General features: G+C 37.1%; 1 protein-coding gene and 1 long non-coding RNA gene across 4 annotated transcripts in view; one reads left to right on the top strand and one right to left on the bottom strand.

The window, feature by feature from the left end:
• XPR1 (xenotropic and polytropic retrovirus receptor 1) overlaps positions 1-23159 on the bottom strand; it is a 258258-nt gene that overhangs the window by 16820 nt on the left and 218279 nt on the right. For all 3 annotated transcript variants that reach the window (NR_137330.2, NM_004736.4, NM_001135669.2), the window contains one exon: positions 9586-9752. Coding sequence is in view for 2 of the 3 variants with exons in the window: in NM_004736.4 (NP_004727.2) it covers positions 9586-9752 (167 nt within the window). In the remaining variant the exon portion in view is untranslated. The remainder of the gene's footprint in view (positions 1-9585; positions 9753-23159) is intronic.
• LOC124904464 (uncharacterized) lies at positions 576-21572 on the top strand. Its single transcript, XR_007066760.1, has 2 exons — positions 576-714; positions 12660-21572. It is a non-coding gene; the product is annotated as an uncharacterized LOC124904464 (long non-coding RNA).

Raw genomic sequence — 23159 nt, 5'->3', positions numbered from 1 at the left:
CTAACAGGTACAGTAGACTTAATAGCTAATATCAGAAAAGATTAGCAGATTTATTCACTGTGTTATTTGTACTTTTATTCTCCATTTGCCTTACCCTGTATTTGAAGAAAGTTTTGCCTTGCTTTTTGATGTGAATGAAATTAAGCTTGGATTTCACAACCGTGGTTGAATTTAAGAAATGTTCTATTTTTACATGGGGAAGACGGTGCTCAAGTAATACTTGCAGGTACTAGCACCCAGGATTTAGGAGTCCAGTCCAGTTTTAGCTACACAAAAGTCTTAAGTACACAAATTGCCAATAGAGCAGAACTATATAATTCATAGATTTGCTCATTATTAATCTCAAGGAAATCAGCTCTTTAAATATATGTATTTAATGAATGTGAAATTTTTGGGAAGGGGAACTACTATGTATTAAGCCATAATATTTATTTTACTTAAAAAATTTTTAAACAAAGTAATACTAGTCATTGTGAGAATGCTATTCTAAAAAAAAAAAAAGTCCCCTGGCCACCTTCTCTTTCCATCCCTAGAGACCGAACATTTTCAAAATTTGTAGCTACTTCTTCTACTTAGCCTCCATGTATTAAACTAATATGTGTAATAAGAATAATCCGGGGGAGGAGCCAAGATGGCCGAATAGGAACAGCTCCGGTCTACAGCTCCCAGCGTGAGCGACGCAGAAGACGGGTGATTTCTGCATTTCCATCTGAGGTACCGGGTTCATCTCACTAGGGAGTGCCAGACAGTGGGCGCAGGCCAGTGTGTGTGCGCACCGTGCGCGAGCCGAAGCAGGGCGAGGCATTGCCTCACCTGGGAAGCGCAAGGGGTCAGGGAGTTCCCTTTCCGAGTCAAAGAAAGGGGTGACGGACGCACCTGGAAAATCGGGTCACTCCCACCCGAATATTGCGCTTTTCAGACCGGCTTAAGAAACGGCGCACCACGAGACTATATCCCACACCTGGCTCAGAGGGTCCTACGCCCACGGAATCTCGCTGATTGCTAGCACAGCAGTCTGAGATCAAACGGCAAGGCGGCAACGAGGCTGGGGGAGGGGCGCCCGCCATTGCCCAGGCTTGCTTAGGCAAACAAAGCAGCTGGGAAGCTCGAACTGGGTGGAGCCCACCACAGCTCAAGGAGGCCTGCCTGCCTCTGTAGGCTCCACCTCTGGGGGCAGGGCACAGACAAACAAAAAGACAGCAGTAACCTCTGCAGACTTAAGTGTCCCTGTCTGACAGCTTTGAAGAGAGCAGTGGTTCTCCCAGCACGCAGCTGGAGATCTGAGAACGGGCAGACTGCCTCCTCAAGTGGGTCCCTGACCCCTGACCCCCGAGCAGCCTAACTGGGAGGCACCCCCCAGCAGGGGCACACTGACACCTCACACAGCAGGGTATTCCAACAGACCTGCAGCTGAGGGTCCTGTCTGTTAGAAGGAAAACTAACAACCAGAAAGGACATCTACACCGAAAACCCATCTGTACATCACCATCATCAAAGACCAAAAGTAGATAAAACCACAAAGATGGGGAAAAAACAGAACAGAAAAACTGGAAACTCTAAAACGCAGAGCGCCTCTCCTCCTCCAAAGGAACGCAGTTCCTCACCAGCAACAGAACAAAGCTGGATGGAGAATGATTTTGACGAGCTGAGAGAAGAAGGCTTCAGACGATCAAATTACTCTGAGCTACGGGAGGACATTCAAACCAAAGGCAAAGAAGTTGAAAACTTTGAAAAAAATTTAGAAGAATGTATAACTAGAATAACCAATACAGAGAAGTGCTTAAAGGAGCTGATGGAGCTGAAAACCAAGGCTCGAGAACTACGTGAAGAATGCAGAAGCCTCAGGAGCCGATGTGATCAACTGGAAGAAAGGGTATCAGCGATGGAAGATGAAATGAATGAAATGAAGCGAGAAGGGAAGTTTAGAGAAAAAAGAATAAAAAGAAATGAGCAAAGCCTCCAAGAAATATGGGACTATGTGAAAAGACCAAATCTACGTCTGATTGGTGTACCTGAAAGTGATGTGGAGAATGGAACCAAGTTGGAAAACACTCTGCAGGATATTATCCAGGAGAACTTCCCCAATCTAGCAAGGCAGGCCAACGTTCAGATTCAGGAAATACAGAGAACGCCACAAAGATACTCCTCGAGAAGAGCAACTCCAAGACACATAATTGTCAGATTCACCAAAGTTGAAATGAAGGAAAAAATGTTAAGGGCAGCCAGAGAGAAAGGTCGGGTTACCCTCAAAGGAAAGCCCATCAGACTAACAGCGGATCTCTCGGCAGAAACCCTACAAGCCAGAAGAGAGTGGGGGCCAATATTCAACATTCTTAAAGAAAAGAATTTTCAACCCAGAATTTCATATCCAGCCAAACTAAGCTTCATAAGTGAAGGAGAAATAAAATACTTTATAGACAAGCAAATGCTGAGAGATTTTGTCACCACCAGGCCTGCCCTAAAAGAGCTCCTGAAGGAAGCGCTAAACATGGAAAGGAACAACCGGTACCAGCCGCTGCAAAATCATGCCAAAATGTAAAGACCATCGAGACTAGGAAGAAACTGCATCAACTAATGAGCAAAATCACCAGCTAACATCATAATGACAGGATCAAATTCACACATAACAATATTAACTTTAAATGTAAATGGACTAAATTCTGCAATTAAAAGACACAGACTGGCAAGTTGGATAAAGAGTCAAGACCCATCAGTGTGCTGTATTCAGGAAACCCATCTCACGTGCAGAGACACACATAGGCTCAAAATAAAAGGATGGAGGAAGATCTACCAAGCCAATGGAAAACAAAAAAAGGCAGGGGTTGCAATCCTAGTCTCTGATAAAACAGACTTTAAACCAACAAAGATCAAAAGAGACAAAGAAGGCCATTACATAATGGTAAAGGGATCAATTCAACAAGAAGAGCTAACTATCCTAAATATTTATGCACCCAATACAGGAGCACCCAGATTCATAAAGCAAGTCCTCAGTGACCTACAAAGAGACTTAGACTCCCACACATTAATAATGGGAGACTTTAACACCCCACTGTCAACATTAGACAGATCAACGAGACAGAAAGTCAACAAGGATACCCAGGAATTGAACTCAGCTCTGCACCAAGCAGACCTAATAGACATCTACAGAACTCTCCACCCCAAATCAACAGAGTATACATTTTTTTCAGCACCACACCACACCTATTCCAAAATTGACCACATAGTTGGAAGTAAAGCTCTCCTCAGCAAATGTAAAAGAACAGAAATTATAACAAACTATCTCTCAGACCACAGTGCAATCAAACTAGAACTCAGGATTAAGAATCTCACTCAAAGCCGCTCAACTCCATGGAAACTGAACAACCTGCTCCTGAATGACTACTGGGTACATAACGAAATGAAGGCAGAAATAAAGATGTTCTTTGAAACCAACGAGAACAAAGACACCACATACCAGAATCTCTGGGACGCATTCAAAGCAGCGTGTAGAGGGAAATTTATAGCACTAAATGCCTACAAGAGAAAGCAGGAAAGATCCAAAATTGACACCCTAACATCACAATTAAAAGAACTAGAAAAGCAAGAGCAAACACATTCAAAAGCTAGCAGAAGGCAAGAAATAACTAAAATCAGAGCAGAACTGAAGGAAATAGAGACACAAAAAACCCTTCAAAAAATCAATGAATCCAGGAGCTGGTTTTTTGAAAGGATCAACAAAATTGATAGACCGCTAGCAAGACTAATAAAGAAAAAAAGAGAGAAGAATCAAATAGACACAATAAAAAATGATAAAGGGGATATCACCACCGATCCCACAGAAATACAAACTACCATCAGAGAATACTACAAACACCTCTACGCAAATAAACTAGAAAATCTAGAAGAAATGGATACATTCCTCGACACATACTCTCTCCCAAGACTAAACCAGGAAGAAGTTGAATCTCTGAATAGACCAATAACAGGCTCTGAAATTGTGGCAATAATCAATAGTTTACCAACCAAAAAGAGTCCAGGACCAGATGGATTCACAGCCGAATTCTACCAGAGGTACAAGGAGGAGCTGGTACCATTCCTTCTGAAACTATTCCAATCAATAGAAAAAGAGGGAATCCTCCCTAACTCATTTTATGAGGCCAGCATCATTCTGATACCAAAGCCGGGCAGAGACACAACCAAAAAAGAGAATTTTAGACCAATATCCTTGATGAACATTGATGCAAAAATCCTCAATAAAATACTGGCCAACCGAATCCAGCAGCACATCAAAAAGCTTATCCACCATGATCAAGTGGGCTTCATCCCTGGGATGCAAGGCTGGTTCAATATACGCAAATCAATAAATGTAATCCAGCATATAAACAGAGCCAAAGACAAAAACCACATGATTATCTCAATAGATGCAGAAAAAGCCTTTGACAAAATTCAACAACCCTTCATGCTAAAAACTCTCAATAAATTAGGTATTGATGGGACGTATTTCAAAATAATAAGAGCTATCTATGACAAACCCACAGCCAATATCATACTGAATGGGCAAAAACTGGAAGCATTCCCTTTGAAAACTGGCACAAGACAGGGATGCCCTCTCTCACCGCTCCTATTCAACATAGTGTTGGAAGTTCTGGCCAGGGCAATCAGGCAGGAGAAGGAAATAAAGGGTATTCAATTAGGAAAAGAGGAAGTCAAATTGTCCCTGTTTGCAGACGACATGATTGTTTATCTAGAAAACCCCATCGTCTCAGCCCAAAATCTCCTTAAGCTGATAAGCAACTTCAGCAAAGTCTCAGGATACAAAATCAATGTGCAAAAATCACAAGCATTCTTACACACCAACAACAGACAAACAGAGAGCCAAATCATGAGTGAACTCCCATTCACAATTGCTTCAAAGAGAATAAAATACCTAGGAATCCAACTTACAAGGGATGTGAAGGACATCTTCAAGGAGAACTACAAACCACTGCTCAAGGAAATAAAAGAGGACACAAACAAATGGAAGAACATTCCATGCTCATGGGTAGGAAGAATCAATATCGTGAAAATGGCCATACTGCCCAAGGTAATTTACAGATTCAATGCCATCCCCATCAAGCTACCAATGACTTTCTTCACAGAATTGGAAAAAACTACTTTAAAGTTCATATGGAACCAAAAAAGAGCCCGCATCGCCAAGTCAATCCTAAGCCAAAAGAACAAAGCTGGAGGCATCACACTACCTGACTTCAAACTATACTACAAGGCTACAGTAACCAAAACAGCATGGTACTGGTACCAAAACAGAGATATAGATCAATGGAACAGAACAGAGCCCTCAGAAATAATGCCACATATCTACAACTATCTGATCTTTGACAAACCTGAGAAAAACAAGCAATGGGGAAAGGATTCCCTATTTAATAAATGGTGCTGGGAAAACTGGCTAGCCATATGTAGAAAGCTGAAACTGGATCCCTTCCTTACACCTTATACAAAAATCAATTCAAGATGGATTAAAGATTTAAACGTTAGACCTAAAACCATAAAAACCCTAGAAGAAAACCTAGGCATTACCATTCAGGACATAGGCGTGGGCAAGGACTTCATGTCCAAAACACCAAAAGTAATGGCAACAAAAGCCAAAATTGACAAATGGGATCTAATTAAACTCAAGAGCTTCTGCACAGCAAAAGAAACTACCATCAGAGTGAACAGGCAACCTACAACATGGGAGAAAATTTTCGCAACCTACTCATCTGACAAAGGGCTAATATCCAGAATCTACAATGAACTCAAACAAATTTACAAGAAAAAAACAAACAACCCCATCAAAAAGTGGGCGAAGGACATGAACAGACACTTCTCAAAAGAAGACATTTATGCAGCCAAAAAACACATGAAGAAATGCTCATCATCACTGGCCATCAGAGAAATGCAAATCAAAACCACTATGAGATATCATCTCACACCAGTTAGAATGGCAATCATTAAAAACTCAGGAAACAACAGGTGCTGGAGAGGATGTGGAGAAATAGGAACACTTTTACACTGTTGGTGGGACTGTAAACTAGTTCAACCATTGTGGAAGTCAGTGTGGCGATTCCTCAGGGATCTAGAACTAGAAATACCATTTGACCCAGCCATCCCATTACTGGGTATATACCCAAAGGATTATAAATCATGCTGCTCTAAAGACACATGCACACGTATGTTTATTGCGGCACTATTCACAATAGCAAAGACTTGGAACCAACCCAAATGTCCAACAATGATAGACTGGATTAAGAAAATGTGGCACATATACACCATGGAATACTATGCAGCCATAAAAAATGATGAGTTCATGTCCTTTGTAGGGACATGGATGAAATTGGAAACCATCATTCTCAGTAAACTATCGCAAGAACAAAAAACCAAACACCGCATATTCTCACTCATAGGTGGGAATGGAACAATGAGATCACATGGACACAGGAAGGGGAATATCACACTCTGGGGACTGTGGTGGGGTCGGGGGAGGGGGGAGGGATAGCATTGGGAGATATACCTAATGCTAGATGACACGTTAGTGGGTGCAGCGCACCAGCATGGCACATGTATACATATGTAACTAACCTGCACAATGTGCACATGTACCCTAAAACTTAGAGTATAATAAAAAAAAAAAAATTAAAAAAAAAAAATAAACTAATATGTGTATAGTGTTATATCTTGATTACTCAATTTTAGATATTATTCACTGACTGATGATTATGATAAATTTAATGAGGATTATTATGAGGATTTTAACACATTCACATGGCTCACTGTTCCCTCTCCTTCCTCGCAATATAGTGATAATGCAATTTTTGGGTAAATCCACATTCACTTTATTATTAGGCTTAACTGAAGAACTGCAATTTCATGTGCCTTTCAGAGTCAGTCTTAAGCTATTCACCATGACCAATGTGGAAACTGGTGTCACCAAAAATGTGGAAGTCTTTCAGGAGGAATACACTTATCTTTGAGGTCAAGAGACACAGAAAAATTAAGTGTGAATATAAAGATGACAAAAATTGTTCCTGGACCTGGGATGTGGTGCTTAATATTATGCATTCCTAAGAACTGATTTTAAGAACTGTTAATCCCTAAGAACTGATTTTAAGGTTCATATACCTGTGTTCTAAATTTTTAATGAAGCTCCACTGGATTCCACACTTTTCAAGCTGGATGAATTTTATTCCAACTATCTGCCTTTTGTTTTAGTTTTTTGTTTTTGTTTTTTTTTTTAAGACAGGGTCTTGCTCCATCGCCCAGGCTGGAGTACAGTGGCATGAACATAGCCCACTGCAGTCTTGAACTCCAGGGCTCAAGTGATCCTCCTGCCTCAGCATCCCGAGTAGCTGGGGCTACAGGCGTGTGCCACCATATCCAGTTATTTTTATTTCATTTTATTTTAGTAGAGTCAGTGTCTCACACTATGATGCCTAGGCTGGTCTGGAACTCAAGCAATTCTTCTGTCCTGGCCTCCCAAAGTGCTGGGATTACAGGTGTGAGCCACCACGTCTGGCCAGTATTTTTTAAAATTAAAGGAATGTGGTGATCCAGCAGAACATCTTTCTTATAAGTTTGCAAATTATAATGTAGGAAAGTATTTATTTTGTTTTTTAGAGTCATGAAAATATGTAACAGCAAAGAAACTAAGTGAAAAATTATATTCACTAATTTTATTACCTAGAAATCACTATGTTAGAACTATGTAAAAGCGGGAATGGATCAACATTTATATAAAGATACAAACAATTTATCTAAGCAATTATCATAATAAGAAACAAATGTTTTGGGAGGCCGAGGCAGGCGGATCATGAGGTCAGGAGACTGAGACCATCCTGGCTAACACGGTGAAACCCCGTCTCTACTAAAACTACAAAAAATTAACCGGACGTGGTGGCGGGCGCCTGTAGTCCTAGCTACTTGGGAGGCTGAGGTAGGAGAATGGTGTGAACCTGGGAGGTGGAGCTGGCAGTGAGCCGAGATCGTGCCACTGCACTCTAGCCTGGGTGACAGAGCAAGACTCTGTCTCAAAAAAAAAAAAAAAGAAACAAATGTTTTATAGCTCTCAGAGGGCAAGAACAATGTAAACAGAAATAAAACACACATATTTGGTGAGCACAAAAGGGCCATTTTTAACTGAGCTCCTATCTACTCTCTGATTATTAATTTTCTTTTCAAATTAGATTTATAAAAATATGTCTAATATCTTGGTCATATATTCTAATTTCTCACATTGGGGGTATTGCTATAGTTTAGGTAAAAAAGATCACTGTCAACAACTCTCCCCTTTTCCCCTTTATTTGTTCATCTGAAGTTACTCTACATATCATTCTTTGAATTCACCATTCCTCACACCTGAAAATGGCCTTCCCTACTTACCAATTGAATATTACACATCCATACACTTTTCCAAATACAATTTTAAGGTTCTAGTGACATGCTGATAGAGTAGAAAATGTTAGTGACCTAATCTACACTTCCCTCTCCATCACAGAATTTTAGACTGGGAAAAGATCAAGAGATAATCTAGTTTAACATACTTACCTCATAAACAAGAATCCACTATAGTCTGGTTGCAGACAATTATATAGCTAGTTAGTGAAAGAGCTGGGATTAGAATTTACATTCACATTCAGGATTACCAGTTCATTGTTTAATTTCTTTCAAGGTCTAATCATGGTATTTATCCTTTACTAAAATATCTGAGTACAGATATTTTTGATTTTTTGACTTTTTAATTCAGCCCCTCTTGTCTTTTTATTAATACATAGAAAAAATCCTAAAATAATTCCTAAAGAATTATTCCTAAAGAATTATCTATGTTTTCTGATTGAAATGGCACTTGATTTTAACAAATATTAGATGAAATAAATGAAAGGAGAAGTCTTCTTGATGCAATCAAGCAGAGTCAGCCACTCCTTCTCCTTTGTCTTTTCATGACACTTTTCATTTAGTCAAGTATTTATTCATTCATCCCAGAAACATTAAGTCTACTATAGACCAGTAATTATGCTTGGAAGTGAAGAATATGGACACCTAAGCACATTATTATAATACAGTGTGATAACTGCTATAATGGTAGTTTATATAGGGTAAAAAAAGATTAAGATGAATAGCTGACTATGCTAGGAAAAATAAAGAAAGGCTTCTTGGAGAAAGTAACACTTAAACTGACTTTTAAAGAGGAGGAACAGGTGTTTACAAAGCAGACGAGAGAGAGTGTTTCAGACTGAGGGCATTCCATGTTCAAAAACAAATCATAAACTACAGTAAGTTATTTATTCTTCCATTCCAGTCTTTATCGCATTGTATTGCAATTTGTTTACTTATCTGAACATAGTTTATGGCTTTCCTTGAGAATGAGAATTTTACTTTGTTTTGATTTCCTATAGTACCTAGCATATAGTAAACATCTAATATATTTTTGCTGACCGAATGAATTAGTATTTTTGTTAATTATTTTTCTAATTATATTAGAGTAATATAATTAGAGGTTGGGTCTGTACTGCAACAGGATTAGCTAGTGGTATACCTAAGTTTGTTCTTTTAAACAAACACACTCTTTATACATACTTTTTGGGGGTATACAATCTCTTCCCGGAGGAAAGTGTTCTCTCCAGCATTCTTATCGAAGAGACCCCAGTCCATCTTGAGATCCCAGATGAGGGTATAGCAGGAACTGATGATATAAAAGACAATCCACAGGTAAAAGAACACCATAGTGTCCGAGTGACCTCGTTCTGAAGAAAGAAGAGGGAAAGAGAAAAGAGAAAATTACTACATTTAAGTAAAATTTTTCATTAATAACACTAATTAAAACAGATTCTTAAAATAGCTCCATAAGAAAGCAAAGCTTTAAACAGATCGTAGGAAGATCACTGTCTAACAAAGGTTAAATAATAAATATGATTTCCCTGAGGTCCAAAGCAATCATCAAACATTTATTGAATACATAACACTTACACAAATGTATAAAAGTTTTGGAGGCTCTATGCTGAATACATAAAAATCTGTATAATTGCAATGAAGGCGTCGAATGTTACAAAAGATGCAATTTTAACTTTTGCCATCAGGTGGCAGCCTAGTGCAAAATATGAAAAAGATTCCTGAAACACTACTAACAAGGAATGTGCATTTGCTTCAAGAAATTCTTGGATTGTTTTTACTTTAGAACATTTCCTTCATACACTTAGATGTTGTCCATACTTATCATGATGGCAACCAGATAATCCTAAGTCTAGATAAAATGCCCGAAAACAACAGAGTGATAAGGATTTTACCCTTAAGGATATGTATGAAAGCAAATTTCTCTCAAGTCACAAAGCAAAGTATGATATTTTAGCTTTTCTTAGAGGGTGTTTATTGATACAAAGGCCTAATTTGCTGGGAACACTATAAAGTAACCTTTGGCTTTATGCTGAAAATACTTATTATAAGGCACACTAAATGAGAATAATGATTCACAAATATAGTTATACAATTTAATCATTTCTGCTTCATATACTATCTAATGAAATTCTTCTTTGGTAAGCTCTAGAGTCCATTGTGAAATGTCTCTAGGTGTGCTATAGGTATATAACTACTAATATGGTTCTGCATCACCAGGAAAAAAAGGCGTACAAATCTAATTCAAAAAAGTTTAAATTTTGGTCAGTTTCTCAAAGATATAGAAAGTGAAGGATATATCATGCATCGTTCATAATTTTTTTCTGTTAAAATAAGCAAGTGTTCATTAACCACTTTTAGGTTATATTAATGTGTTAATAAGTACAGTATGATTTAAAGGCACCCCTTAGAAGTTTATAATCTAGAGAGTGAAACATTCATTCATTATAAATTGATAAATTTGAGCTCAAAATGAAGTATAAACAAAGGGCTATGAGAGCACCAAGGCAAATGGGAATGTTTCCAACAGTAGGAAGTAAGAGAAAGCAGCATTTGAGTTAGTTCTAGAAGGATAAATAAATAGTATTGCAAAAGTCAGGCAGATAAGGTGAGGTCATTCGAGGCTGAAGGAAGATACTGAGAAGGCAGATAATGAGAAGGTGGGGGGAAGTACAGGTGTGTTTGAGAAGCTACAAGTTACCTACATCTAGTGTAGGTGACATATAGAAGATGTGAGAGAAATGGTATGATTTAAAATGAGGCTGAAAAAGACTCATCTGGGTCTGACTGTGGAACGCCTTCGTGGGCTTTAGGATCAGATCTGTATTTTAGAAAAACAACTGGTTGGCAAATTACTTGCAATCAATTAGTTAAAAAAAAAATAGTTGCCTTGGAGCTTCAGTGTTGTGTGAACATCAGTTCTCATCAGCTTATGAGAGGCCAATTGTTAAATTTTCAGAAACTCTGGAAGCTGGTTGTCAAACTCAGTCATTATTAAAAATTAACTTACATAACTTTATAAATAGCTATATTAAAACAAAGGTAACACATACTCAAAATTCATTACTTTTTAATTTTATTAATTTTTGCTTTTATTCTCGAGGTTGGATGTATTTATTGTACTTGCATGATGGAAATACTGTATAATGCTGTGCTACTGTACATCTTTTCCTCACTCCACATTCAGTGTTATCATCTTAGTAGCTTGAAATTGGCTATAGTGGAAGTATTTACACCGTGGAAATCAGCAAACACTAGGAATCAATGCTCCTTATCCCCACTCCCACCCAAGAGCTGGTTTCTTGAACATATACTAGCACATCACTGTTTAGCTGCTTCTCTTAGAAAGGCAGTGGTAGGGAAAGAAATTGGTATTTCTTTAAATGGTCCACATGTGATTCTCATGAATAGCCCAGCTCTGATATAATCACATTTTCACATTTAAACTATTTCCACAAAAATTTTTCTTCATTAAAAACAAATTGAGCTGAATATTTATACTACAACATTATGTCATAAATTATCAACTTAAAATGCCTAAAAAATTATTTACTTACTATCTAGGTATAGTTCGTGTGTTCTGACATGTATTTATTTCATTCTATGTGCAGATATAGGGTCTAGCTGAGAAGTGTCATTCAATAATTCACATCATGGCTACATTAAAAAAGATACTACAATTCATCTACTAAGGTTCACAAAGAATAAAGCAAATTTGGCAACTTAGTAAAATTCACTCCTCATATTTTCAAAACAAGATCCACACAGAGATAAAAAGGCAAGGAACTTATTTATATTTACAACACTTAAAAAAACTGAATGTAAGGTATGTGCCAGGTATTTTACAAATATTGTCTCATTTAATTTTCCTAATAATAAGCTATTGTTTTGTCTGCTAGTAAAAGGACATGAGAATAGAGTAATAGATACATTTAGTAGGAGATAACAAAATGAGTATTTCTCAAGTGAGTATAGGTGATATGGAGTCTTATTACAGAAAGCTGATTTTCTTTCTTTCTTTACTAATTACTGAAGAAATAATCAAGTGTAAATTATTACATAAAAGGAGATTGTGAAGAGGAGTAAAAATGTTACATGAAAAAGGAATTAATAATGAAACTAAAAGCAATGTGCTAATTTTCTGGTATTTCTCCTAGATTTTAAATGTAAATCTTATCCTTAGAGTGTAATTCTTACAGTGGTACAATGGATCTGGTGTTTCTCTCTTGCAAGCCCATGTTATTTCTTTTTTTTTTTTTTAGTCACATCCTGCTCATTTTGACAAACGCAGAGTCATGTACCCATCACTACAATCAAGTTACAGACCATCTCCATAACTCCAAAGAATTCCCACACACTCCATTGTAGCCCCACGGACAACCACCAGTCTGTGTTCTCTTCTGGTAGTTTTGCCTTTTTGAGACAGTCACATAAAATGGAACCACTTAGTATATAGCATTTTGAGTTTGGTTGTTTTCACTTAACATAATATATTAAAGATTTATCCATGTTGTTGCATGTATCAGTGGCTTATTTCTTTTTCTTGCTAAATAGTATTACTTTGTAAGGATGTATACAAATTGTTTATCCATTTACTTGCTGATGAACATACAGACTGTTTTCAGTTTTTGACAATTCCAAAAAAGTCACTTTACAAATATTCATACACAAGACTTTATGTAATATGTTTTCATTTCCCTTGGATAGGAGTGAGACTGTTGGGTTGTATGGTAAGTGGATGTTTAACTTTATGAAAATCTTTCAAACTGTTTTAAAGAGTTATTGTACCATTTTGCATTTTCACCAGCAATGTAAGAGAAATTTAGTTCCTCCTCTTCTTCAACAGTATTTGATACTGTCATTAAAAAAAATTTAGCTACTCTAATAGACATTTTGTAGTATCTAGTTGTGATATTAATCTTTACTCCTCTGATGACTAGTGATGTCAGGCATCTTTTTATGTGTTTAATTGTCATATGTGTATCTTTTCTGGTGATGGATTTGGTAAAATATTTGGCCAAAAATTTTGAGGGGGAATTTCTTGTCTTATTATTATTGCATTGTCTGAAATTTTAAAATTTATTCTGTATTCCAGTTCTCTTTCTGATAGGTTTCCTGCAAATATTTTCTGTTAATGTGTGGCTTGTCTTTTCATTTTCCAAACAACATTTTTGAATGTATTTATTCACAACTTTAAAATTTTGATTAAGACAATTTTGATTAAAAACCATTTAAAAGTATCTTTCTTTTCTGAATCACACTCTAATTTTTTATATTAGAAGTCCATATCATTTCTATGCAATTTCTATGAAACATACATGAGGACTTACTGCCTTTTAAATAAATATTCTTACAGAATATTTCAGAGTAAGTAATATTTTATCTGATGAACTTCTTCAAACAATGATTAGCACACACTTGGTCTACAAATGCTACATTTTGGTCTCATTTTAATTACTACCATTATTTGATCTTTCCCATCTCTCAAGTGAAGAATGCCTCTCTCCCTGAAATCATCTGCCTTCATTGGTATTCAGGAGATGTCCTGGAAAGATATTATCACTTTAGGCAAGCAATTACATCTTATTCTCTCTTGGCTAACCCTGGTAGCACACTTTAGTGATATTCAGAATCACAGAAAATCAAGTCATTGCTATTCTACTCTAAGCTTCTATCCAGTATATGCCTGCCACATTCGCAGCATAATTCATATTGGACATATTTATGGCAATGGTATCCATGAATTTAAAACAAATAAAAATAAAAATAAATTTCTTACAGTTTTGTACCCATAGCCATTGTGTGAATGATTAAAAAAGAAAAAAGGAAAAGGACTAAAATACTAAAGGGACAATGTGGGAATGATTTTTTAAAAAGAGAGAAGGAAAAGTACTAAAGAGAGAAATCAGAAAAATTACATATGGAAATCAACTTGAATCATGTTTCAGGGTGGATATTTCAAAAATGAAAAATGTGGCACCACGTGAAAAGAGAACTGGTTTGAAATAAAATAAGAAAACACAACAGACTGGACCTAGTTTTCAAAGCCCAAACCTATAAAGGTAAACTGAATTATGACTGAGTTTAGGATCTAGCAAATCCTGGATCTATTTCTATTACCAAAAAAAAGAAAAATCAAACCTTTGAATTGTCAGATTAATACTGTCCTCCAAAAAATGAACAAATATAGATATTCCCCGATCTTTAGTGTGTTTTAGTTACATGTGAGATCACATATATTAATCCCTCAGGTGATTATCATCTTTATCCTTAGGGCAGACAAGACAGACATTATTATTCCCATTTTATAGTTAAGGAAACTGAAGTTGAGGGAGATAGTTAATAAATGGAAAGATAACTAGATTTAAAGTTAGGAGACCTGGGTTTGAATATAGACTGCCTCTTCCAAGCTTTGTGGTTACAGAAAATTCACATTCTTAAAATGATTGAGACAAAAAAGGAACTCATAGGGCCTAAGGCTAAATGGGGGAACCAGAATGAGGAATCCTCATCTAAGGAACATTTTGTACTAGACAGCATTGCTTCTCTAAGTCCATCTCAACTTTAAAACGAAAAAAGTAGTTTCATAAAACCATGAAGTAACATTACAAAATTTCTAACATAGTGTGGGAAAATAGAATTTAAAAGTTATTACACATATTATTGCTTATTTCATACTGTATATAAAATTATGTTTATGGGAAAAAAACAGAAGTGGTTATCTCAGATGAGGGAAGTAAGATTAAGGAAGAAAGTGGGCTGAGGAAAATAATTGTTATTAGGGTGGTTATACAAATGATTTAAGTAAGACTTTAATTTTGCTATATTTTTTGTTTGTTTTTGTTTTGAGATGGAGTTTCACTCTTGTTGCCCACACTGGAGTGCAATGGTGCAATCTAGGCTCACCGCAACCTCCACCTCCTGGTTCAAGCGATTCTCCTGCCTCAGCTTCCTGAGTAGCTGGGACTGCAGGCATGCGCCACCACGCCCGGCTAATTTTGTATTTTTAGTAGAGACAGGGTTTCTCCATGTTGGCCAGGCTGGTCTCAAACTCCCAACCTCAGGTGATCTGCCTGCCTCGGCCTATCAAAGTGCTGGGATTACAGGTGTGAGCCACCACACCCGGCCACTATATTGTTTTTATAATAAAAATAGTACATAGGAATTCCTTTACTAATTCAAGAACTGTTTACTACTGAGTATATACTATAACCTGCATTATTTATTGTATAACTAGAATACTAAAGACTAACTCCAAAAAAACATCTGCTTGCTTGTATATTCAGCAAACAAATACTGAATGTCTACTGGGTAACCTAACTAGGTACATTCTAGGGAATGAGAATATACTGAAGAACTACTAAGGGCCAAGTCTAAAAGAGGAGAGAGAATTTAGTCAAAAACACAATGTATAGGTACAGTTCTGGAACTGTGCATAGAAAAGGAATCAATAAGCCAGGAGGGGAAATAGCCAGGAAAATCTTCCTGAAGGAGGTACTACTTGAGCTGAATCATGAAAGGACTTGAGTTAAACAAGTTTATGGGGCAGAGAGAACCATTTCAAGCAGAATAGAAACCATTCATTCAATAAAGAGTACCTGCACATGCCAGATATTATTCTAGGTACCAGGTACACAACAGTGAATCTTATTTACTAATGGTCAGACAAATTTCCTGCCTCAGTAAAGCCTCCTATTTCGTAGGGGTAGACAATGATCAGATATATAAGTAAAGATGATGATTTCACACAGTGAAAAATACCATGAAGAAAACAGAACAGGATGATAAGACAAAATTCCTTCAGACAGTATTCAGGCAGAAACAGCGTTCAGGCAGAGAAGGTTTCTTAAGTTGGGACTTGGGTACTGACAAGGAACCAGCCACATTTTCATGTGAAGGTGGAGAAAGAGTATATGTAATAATAAAATTTCTAGTAACCATATTCAAAAAGGTGGAAACAGGTAAAATTAATAATATATTTTATGTAATCTATACCTAAAATGTTATCACTTTTACATTTAATATATAGTCAAAATAAAATTGATATCCTTCACAGTTTTTTGTTTCAAACTAAGTCTTCAAGATCCAGTTTGTATGTTATACTTACGGCACATTTCGATTTAGATTAGGCACACTTCAAATGCTCAACAGACTGATGTAGCTGGTAGTTAAATTATGCAACAGTGCAGCTCTAGGTATCTTTGGGGAGATGAGTTTGAGGTGTAAAGATTGAAAGCAGTGTATTAATATGGCTGTGGCAACAGCCCAGTGAGAAACAATGAGGACTAGAATTGAGTATAAGTTTAAGGAACAGAGAGGTAAGGCAAAAATTAAGAAATACTTGGGAACTAAAATTGGCAGGACTTGGTAAATTTTGAAGGTGAGATGAAGGATACAGTCAAAAATAACTCCTAGTTTTTAACCTGGGTGAGTGGCATGGTGCCATAAACTAGGTTAGAGAACATGGGGCTTGAAGCATGCTTAGGAAAAAAAATGAGTTTATTTTTTGACGTGTTGACTTTAAGGTACTTACGAAACATCGAGGTGGAGGAAGCCCAGAAAACAACTGGAAAAAACTAAAAAGCTTCAGATACAGACTGGGGAGTCACACAGACAGTGGTTGCAACCATCAAAATAATTTAGAAGCTCTTTCTATGAAAAGGACAGGCTACAATGAGAGATAAGTCTTCCATCTATAAGGGGAATCACACTGTGTTTGACTACACTTGGTTGAGTTTATTTCCAGTTTTTTTTTTTAATACCAAAGACTCAAAGAGATGAGAACTCTCTGAAATGTTACAGAGCTTCTCTTTATCTCTTAAAAAATTTAAATTCTAATTCTATGTTTGTTTACATTTCAAGGTTTCTAAATATGTGTTAATTACTATAGAGTTATTGTGGTTATAGGAATGGAGACAGTAAGAATAAGAATAGATAGATTACTGTTTTGAGATGCAGGATAGAGAAAAGGAAAAAAGACTAGACCAGATGGCTTAATGAGGTAAGGGAAATCTTTTTAGAGTAGGGGACTCTTAAGCATGTACATAGGCTAGAAGGAAGGAGCCAGTAATGACAAACAGTTTGAAGATTTGGGAAAAACAAGGGACAACTGCCAGAGCTAGATCCTGGGACAAGGGGAAATGAGAGCAGTGCACAGGAGGAAGGACACCTTGTTACTTTAGACTGGGGAAAATACAGTAAAAAGGGGTTTAGATTAAATAAGCATGTAGGGAGAAGGTAGCTGAAGGAAAATGATTCCTGATAGCCTCAATTTTCTTAAGCTAGTAGGAGACAAGGTGGTCTGTAAGAATAAAGAGGAAAAGGCTGAGTTAGGAGCTGAGAAAAGCAATGAAAGTTATAGTAAAACCGTCCCCCCTCCCCCCACTTTTTTTTTTTTTTTGAGACACAGTCTCACTCTGTCGCCAGGCTGGAGAGCAGTGGCATGATCTCGGCTCATTGCAACCTCTACCTCCTGGGTTAAGTGATTCTTCTGCCTCAGCCTCCCAAATAGCTGGGACTACAGGCACACACCACCACACCCGGCTAATTTTTGTATTTTTAGTAGAGACGAGGTTTCACCATGTTGGCCAGGCTGGTCTCGATCTCCTGACCTCATAATCTGCCCTCCTGGGCCTCCCAAAGTGCTGGGATTACAGGTGTGAGCCACTGTGCCCAGCTGTAAAAACCCCTTTTCAAGTTAACATTTTTGAGATAAAAAATTTAATAATATGTTAACAAAGGACAAAATACATTAAAGTTTAGAAAAAAGTTAATCTCTCCTTCCTATGACATTCTTTTCACAAAACATTTTGCTTGTGCTTATACTGTCTTTCATTCTGTATATACACAATTTTTTTCTTTCCTGTAATATTGTATTCTATCTAGCATTGTGAAAAGAATTTAACTTTAGAGTAGAGCAAATTGAATATATATTTGTCTTTTCCATTAAATTGTAATGTCTTTCACAGAAAGATCTCACATCAGCATTTTTCTAGGGCCCATGTACCATGCTGGACATAGTAGGGGCTTAATTAATATTTGCCAAACTGAATTGAGGCTATGTTTCACTCATTTTTGTATTTTCTGCACAATGCTTTACCTTCCAACAAATACTTGGGAAAGGCAACATAGTCTCTGGGCAGCCTACACATATAATGTGTCCCTGAAAACACCTATTAAGTTTGTAGCTCCTAGGCCCTCCAGGCAAAATGAAATGGACAGCTGTGGCAAACAGAAAACTTTAAAACCAGATTCTAAGGCTTTGACAAAGGCAGGAGGTCAGTCACACCTCCACATTCCCTTATCTCATTATCAGCCGCCAAGACTTTCTTTCCTATAATTAAACAGAAACCAGTCCCTAAAAACAATGTGTGCAAGATTTCTTCCCCAACCTCAACAGACCATCTGACACTGTGGCCAAACTCCCCTCCCTTATCGTGCTTTTGCCACGATAGGTGACTAGCCTTACAAAGCATTCCTTTTTGATAAATGACTGCTGATCACAGACTCGTTCTGGCTGGTCCACAGAGACTGAGCACAAGATGCCTCTGTGCTCTGCTCTGTGTTTCACCTTTTGACACAAAGAGCCGAATTTCACTTCACTTTAATGTTAACTGCCTACTCCGAAGTGAACATGGGACATATGTAACATATATGTTTACTCACCACACATTTGGTTTCCCTCATAAATATTCATAAATTCTCCTATAACCTGCTAAATATGTATGCGGAGCTAACCCCACTGGGGATAAATTCCAACCTCTCCCCTTTGTAACTGAAGCCTATGTATTTGGTTTTGGCTGGAAGCTTAGTTTCCTGACCTGCAGATTGTAATCCTTTACAGGAAATAAAGCTTTCCTTTTGCTTCCTCTGCCAATCTCATGGTCTTTTGTTAATAAGTTGAATGTGAAAAAGTTAAGCAACAGACTTATATGAGGATAAGTTCCTGAGAGCTAAAAATAGATAAAGCAAAACCCCTATTAAACTTTCCTTGCCTTTTAGATACAACCTTTAACGGCATTGTTCTAACATTTTGTAGACATCATTTTTTTCCTTTACAACAAAACACAGCTGCTTTTAATTCAATGAGTGTCACAATGATGTTTAAAAGTTGCTGCTTTCTGCATGCCTAATGATTCCTATAGCTGTTTTAACTGTATTACACTTATGAGACATTAAAAAAATTGTGTGTAATATCACCACAGATAATTCCCACTGATTTCAAGAAAAACGAACAAAATACAACAAAATACAAAAAAAAAAAAAAAAAAACCACATGAATGCACTATTATTTGTGCCACAGAAGGTAAGGCTGCCAAAGCTCTCAGTTAGCAGCTAGCAATACCATGCAAAAGCAGGAAATGTTCTCAATCCAAAGGATAATTAAGAGGTAGGGTGTGTGTGTGTGTGTGTGTGTGTGTGTGTGTGTGTGTGTGTCTATAGTCTAATAACAAAATACCCAAACTGTCCAGTTTTCAATTAAAAAAATCACTAGTCATACAAAGAACAAGGAAGATCTCAAACTTAATGAAAAGACAATCAAAGATGTCAAAACTGAGATGATAGAGATGTTGGAATTACTGGACAAAGATCTCACAGCAGCTATGATAAAAATGCCTTAGCAAAGAAACAGTCTCACCAAAGATACAGGAAACACAAAGAAGAACCAAATAGAAATATTAGAAGCCAAAAATACAATAACTGAAATAAAACTCACTGTTAACAGAATAATAGAAGGGACAGAGGAAAGAACTGGCAACTGAAAGATAGAATAGAAATTTCCTAACCTGAACAAGAAAGAAAATAGGTTGAATTTAAAAAATGAAAAGAAGCCAGGCGCAGTGGCAGTGGCTCATGCCTATAATCCCAGTAATTTGGGAGGCCGAGGCGGGTGGAAAACTTGAGGTCAGGAGTTCAAGACCAGCTTGGCTAACGTGGCGAATACCCGTCTCTCCTAAAAATACAAAAATTAACTGGGCTTGGTGTGCGCCTGTAATTCCAGCTACTTGGGAGGCTGAGGCATGAGAAGTGCTTGAACCCAACGGGTGGAGGCTGCAGTAAGCTGAGATTGCACCATTGCAATCTGTGGGGGATACATTCCAAAACCCCCAGTTGGTGCCTGAAACCATGGATAGTACTGCTATGATAAAGTTTAATCTATAAATTAAGCACAGCAAGAGACTAGCAATAATAATAAAGCAGAACAATCATAATATACTGTAATAAGTTATGTGGAAGGCTGGACGTGGTGGCTCACGCCTGTAATCCCAACATTTTGGGAGGCCGAAGTGAGAGGATTGCTTCAGTCCAGGAGTTGGAGACCTCACCTTTACAAAAAATAAACAAAATTAAACCAGTGTGGTGGCGCACACCTGTAGTCCTAGCTACTCAGGAGGCTGAGGTGAGAGGGCTGCATGAGCCCAAGAGGTCAAGGCTGCAGTGAGCTGAGATTACACCATTGCACTCCTGCCTGGGTGACAGAGTGAGACCCTGTCTCAAAAAACAAAACGAAAACCATAAGAGTTATGTGACTGTGGTCTCTTTCTCTCTCAAAATAGCATAAAGTTTTCAGACTGTGGTTGACCACCGATAAGTAAAACTGCAGAAAGTGAAGGTATGGATAGGGTCGGGGGAATACTGTGCAAAAAAGGCAACAGGGGGGATCCTTGTGGTGATGGAAATGTTCTGTATCTTGACTGTATGAATGTCAATATTCTGGCTGTGATATTATACTATGTTTGTAAAGTGTTACCACTGGGGAAACTATGCAAAGGGTATATGGGATCTCTCTGCATTACTTCTTGCCATGCATGTGATTCTACAATTATCTCAAAACAAAATGTTTAATTAAAAAAAAACCACAGAACTTGACTGTTCCTCAAAACCTTCACTGAGTTAACCACTTCCTCTTTGAAACCACCTTATACCCTATACAATACTGATAATATAGTATTATTGCACTTCCATGTTCTATTGTAATTAGTCTATTTCCCTTACCAAACCGTGAGCTCCAAGAGGAGGTTTTAAAGGCAAGATATGTTTTGTTCATCTATGTATGCCTAGCATCTAGTAGTGCCTGATACATTGAAGATGTTTTGTAAATGTTTGTTGAATAAAACTGGATGTGACTGATGTAATCAAGAAAGTAATTTCATTATTAAACTATTTATATTCAATTTATTATCCATATAGATCCTTATTTACTGGCTCCTCAATAACAAAGTTACCTCTTCAGTGATTATAAAAGCATCAATGACACCATTTAGGACTTCCTTTCTTGACAGAGTTTAGCAACTTTTCTTCTGCTGTATCAGATACCCCTTCCCAGATCAGATCATCAGAACCTCTTCCAATATCTTTCTTATGTATGTGTGTCTAGGCTTATTTTTAAAAATCCCTTTCTGTTACACATTTGATCAACAGCCTTGGAAACATTCTTGTAGTAGGTTATTGCTGTAAGGAAAAGTTAAGACTTTGGAATAAGCAAAAATAATTACTATGCACTAAAATGGAAAATTATGCATTGTTTACACCATACCTTTCTAGGTTATGTTTCTATGGAGTTTGTGCCTTTTCTGGTCTTGGAGTTATTTTATAATTCTGTATAAATTGTGGATAAATGCCAATAATTCTGTCTATAGGCACACAAATAAATTCTGTCTGACGGAGGTCCAACAGATTCCATCTTACCCTCTACTCCTCCACCACACCCCACCTCCAGTAGAAAAAGCAAATTTTGTGTCCATTTGTAAATGGATATCAGCATTCCTTTACTCCACAGTAAAGGTTTGTTAACTAACCATCATGTGGAAAATATATTGTCTCTCCTTTGAACCAGTAGTGACAACTGGCTGGTTTCCTCTTTAATTCATGAGTTAAATAGAAGTTTGGTGTTTTTACATTAAAAAATATCTATTTCTGCTTTTCCCCACTCCTTTTGTTCTATAACCAAATAACAATTCTGGAGCAGATAAACTATGTGTTTCTGCCTTCTCTCCTGGAAAAGACACAATTTCATTTATTTAACTAAATGAAATGCTAACAACTATAACCACTTTAAAAGAAATATAAGGATACTATAATCCTTTTTTTTTTTTTTTTTAAAGACACAGGGTCTCAATCTGTTGCCCACGCAGGAGTACATTGGTACAATAATAACTCACTGTAACTTTGAACTCCTGGGCTCAAGTGATCCTCCTGCCTCAGCCTCCCAAGTAGCTAGAAATACAGGTGTGTACCACGACACTTGCCTAATTAAAAAATAATTTTTTAGAGATGAGGTCTCACTATGTTGCCCAAGCTAGTCTCGAACTCCAGGCCTTAAGTGATCCTCCCAACTTGGCATCCCAAAATGCTGAGATTACAGGTGTCAGTTACCATGCCTGGCCAGGATTCTATACATTTTACACAGTGTCTCAAGTGCTCATTTTATGAAAGCTTCAGGTAGTACATACATATGGGCAGAAACTTTTTTCTTAATTGAACTGAAAAAAGTGATAAACATAAGCTAAAATTATAGTCATTTAAAAATGGAAATAAGATTGGAGTACATCTTTAAGCAGCTATAATACAGAATATAGTAATCAGAATTGAATATAAAATAAATGCAGATCACAAAGATGTATTCTAGAAATGTGAGAAATAACAATATGTATTCCATATTATGGTTAGTTAACAAACCTAAAAAGGGAGTGAGAAGAAATATAATAGGAGATAGGCACAGAGAGAAGGAAAGCCAAAATCTCTTCCACGTTTTCTTCATA

The sequence above is a fragment of the Homo sapiens genome, chromosome 1, assembly GCF_000001405.40.
Source record: "Homo sapiens chromosome 1, GRCh38.p14 Primary Assembly".
In the NCBI taxonomy this organism is placed as follows: Eukaryota; Metazoa; Chordata; class Mammalia; order Primates; family Hominidae; genus Homo; species Homo sapiens.
The sequence above is the reverse complement of the archived record's forward strand: the minus strand, read 5'-3'. Positions and strand labels throughout refer to the sequence as shown.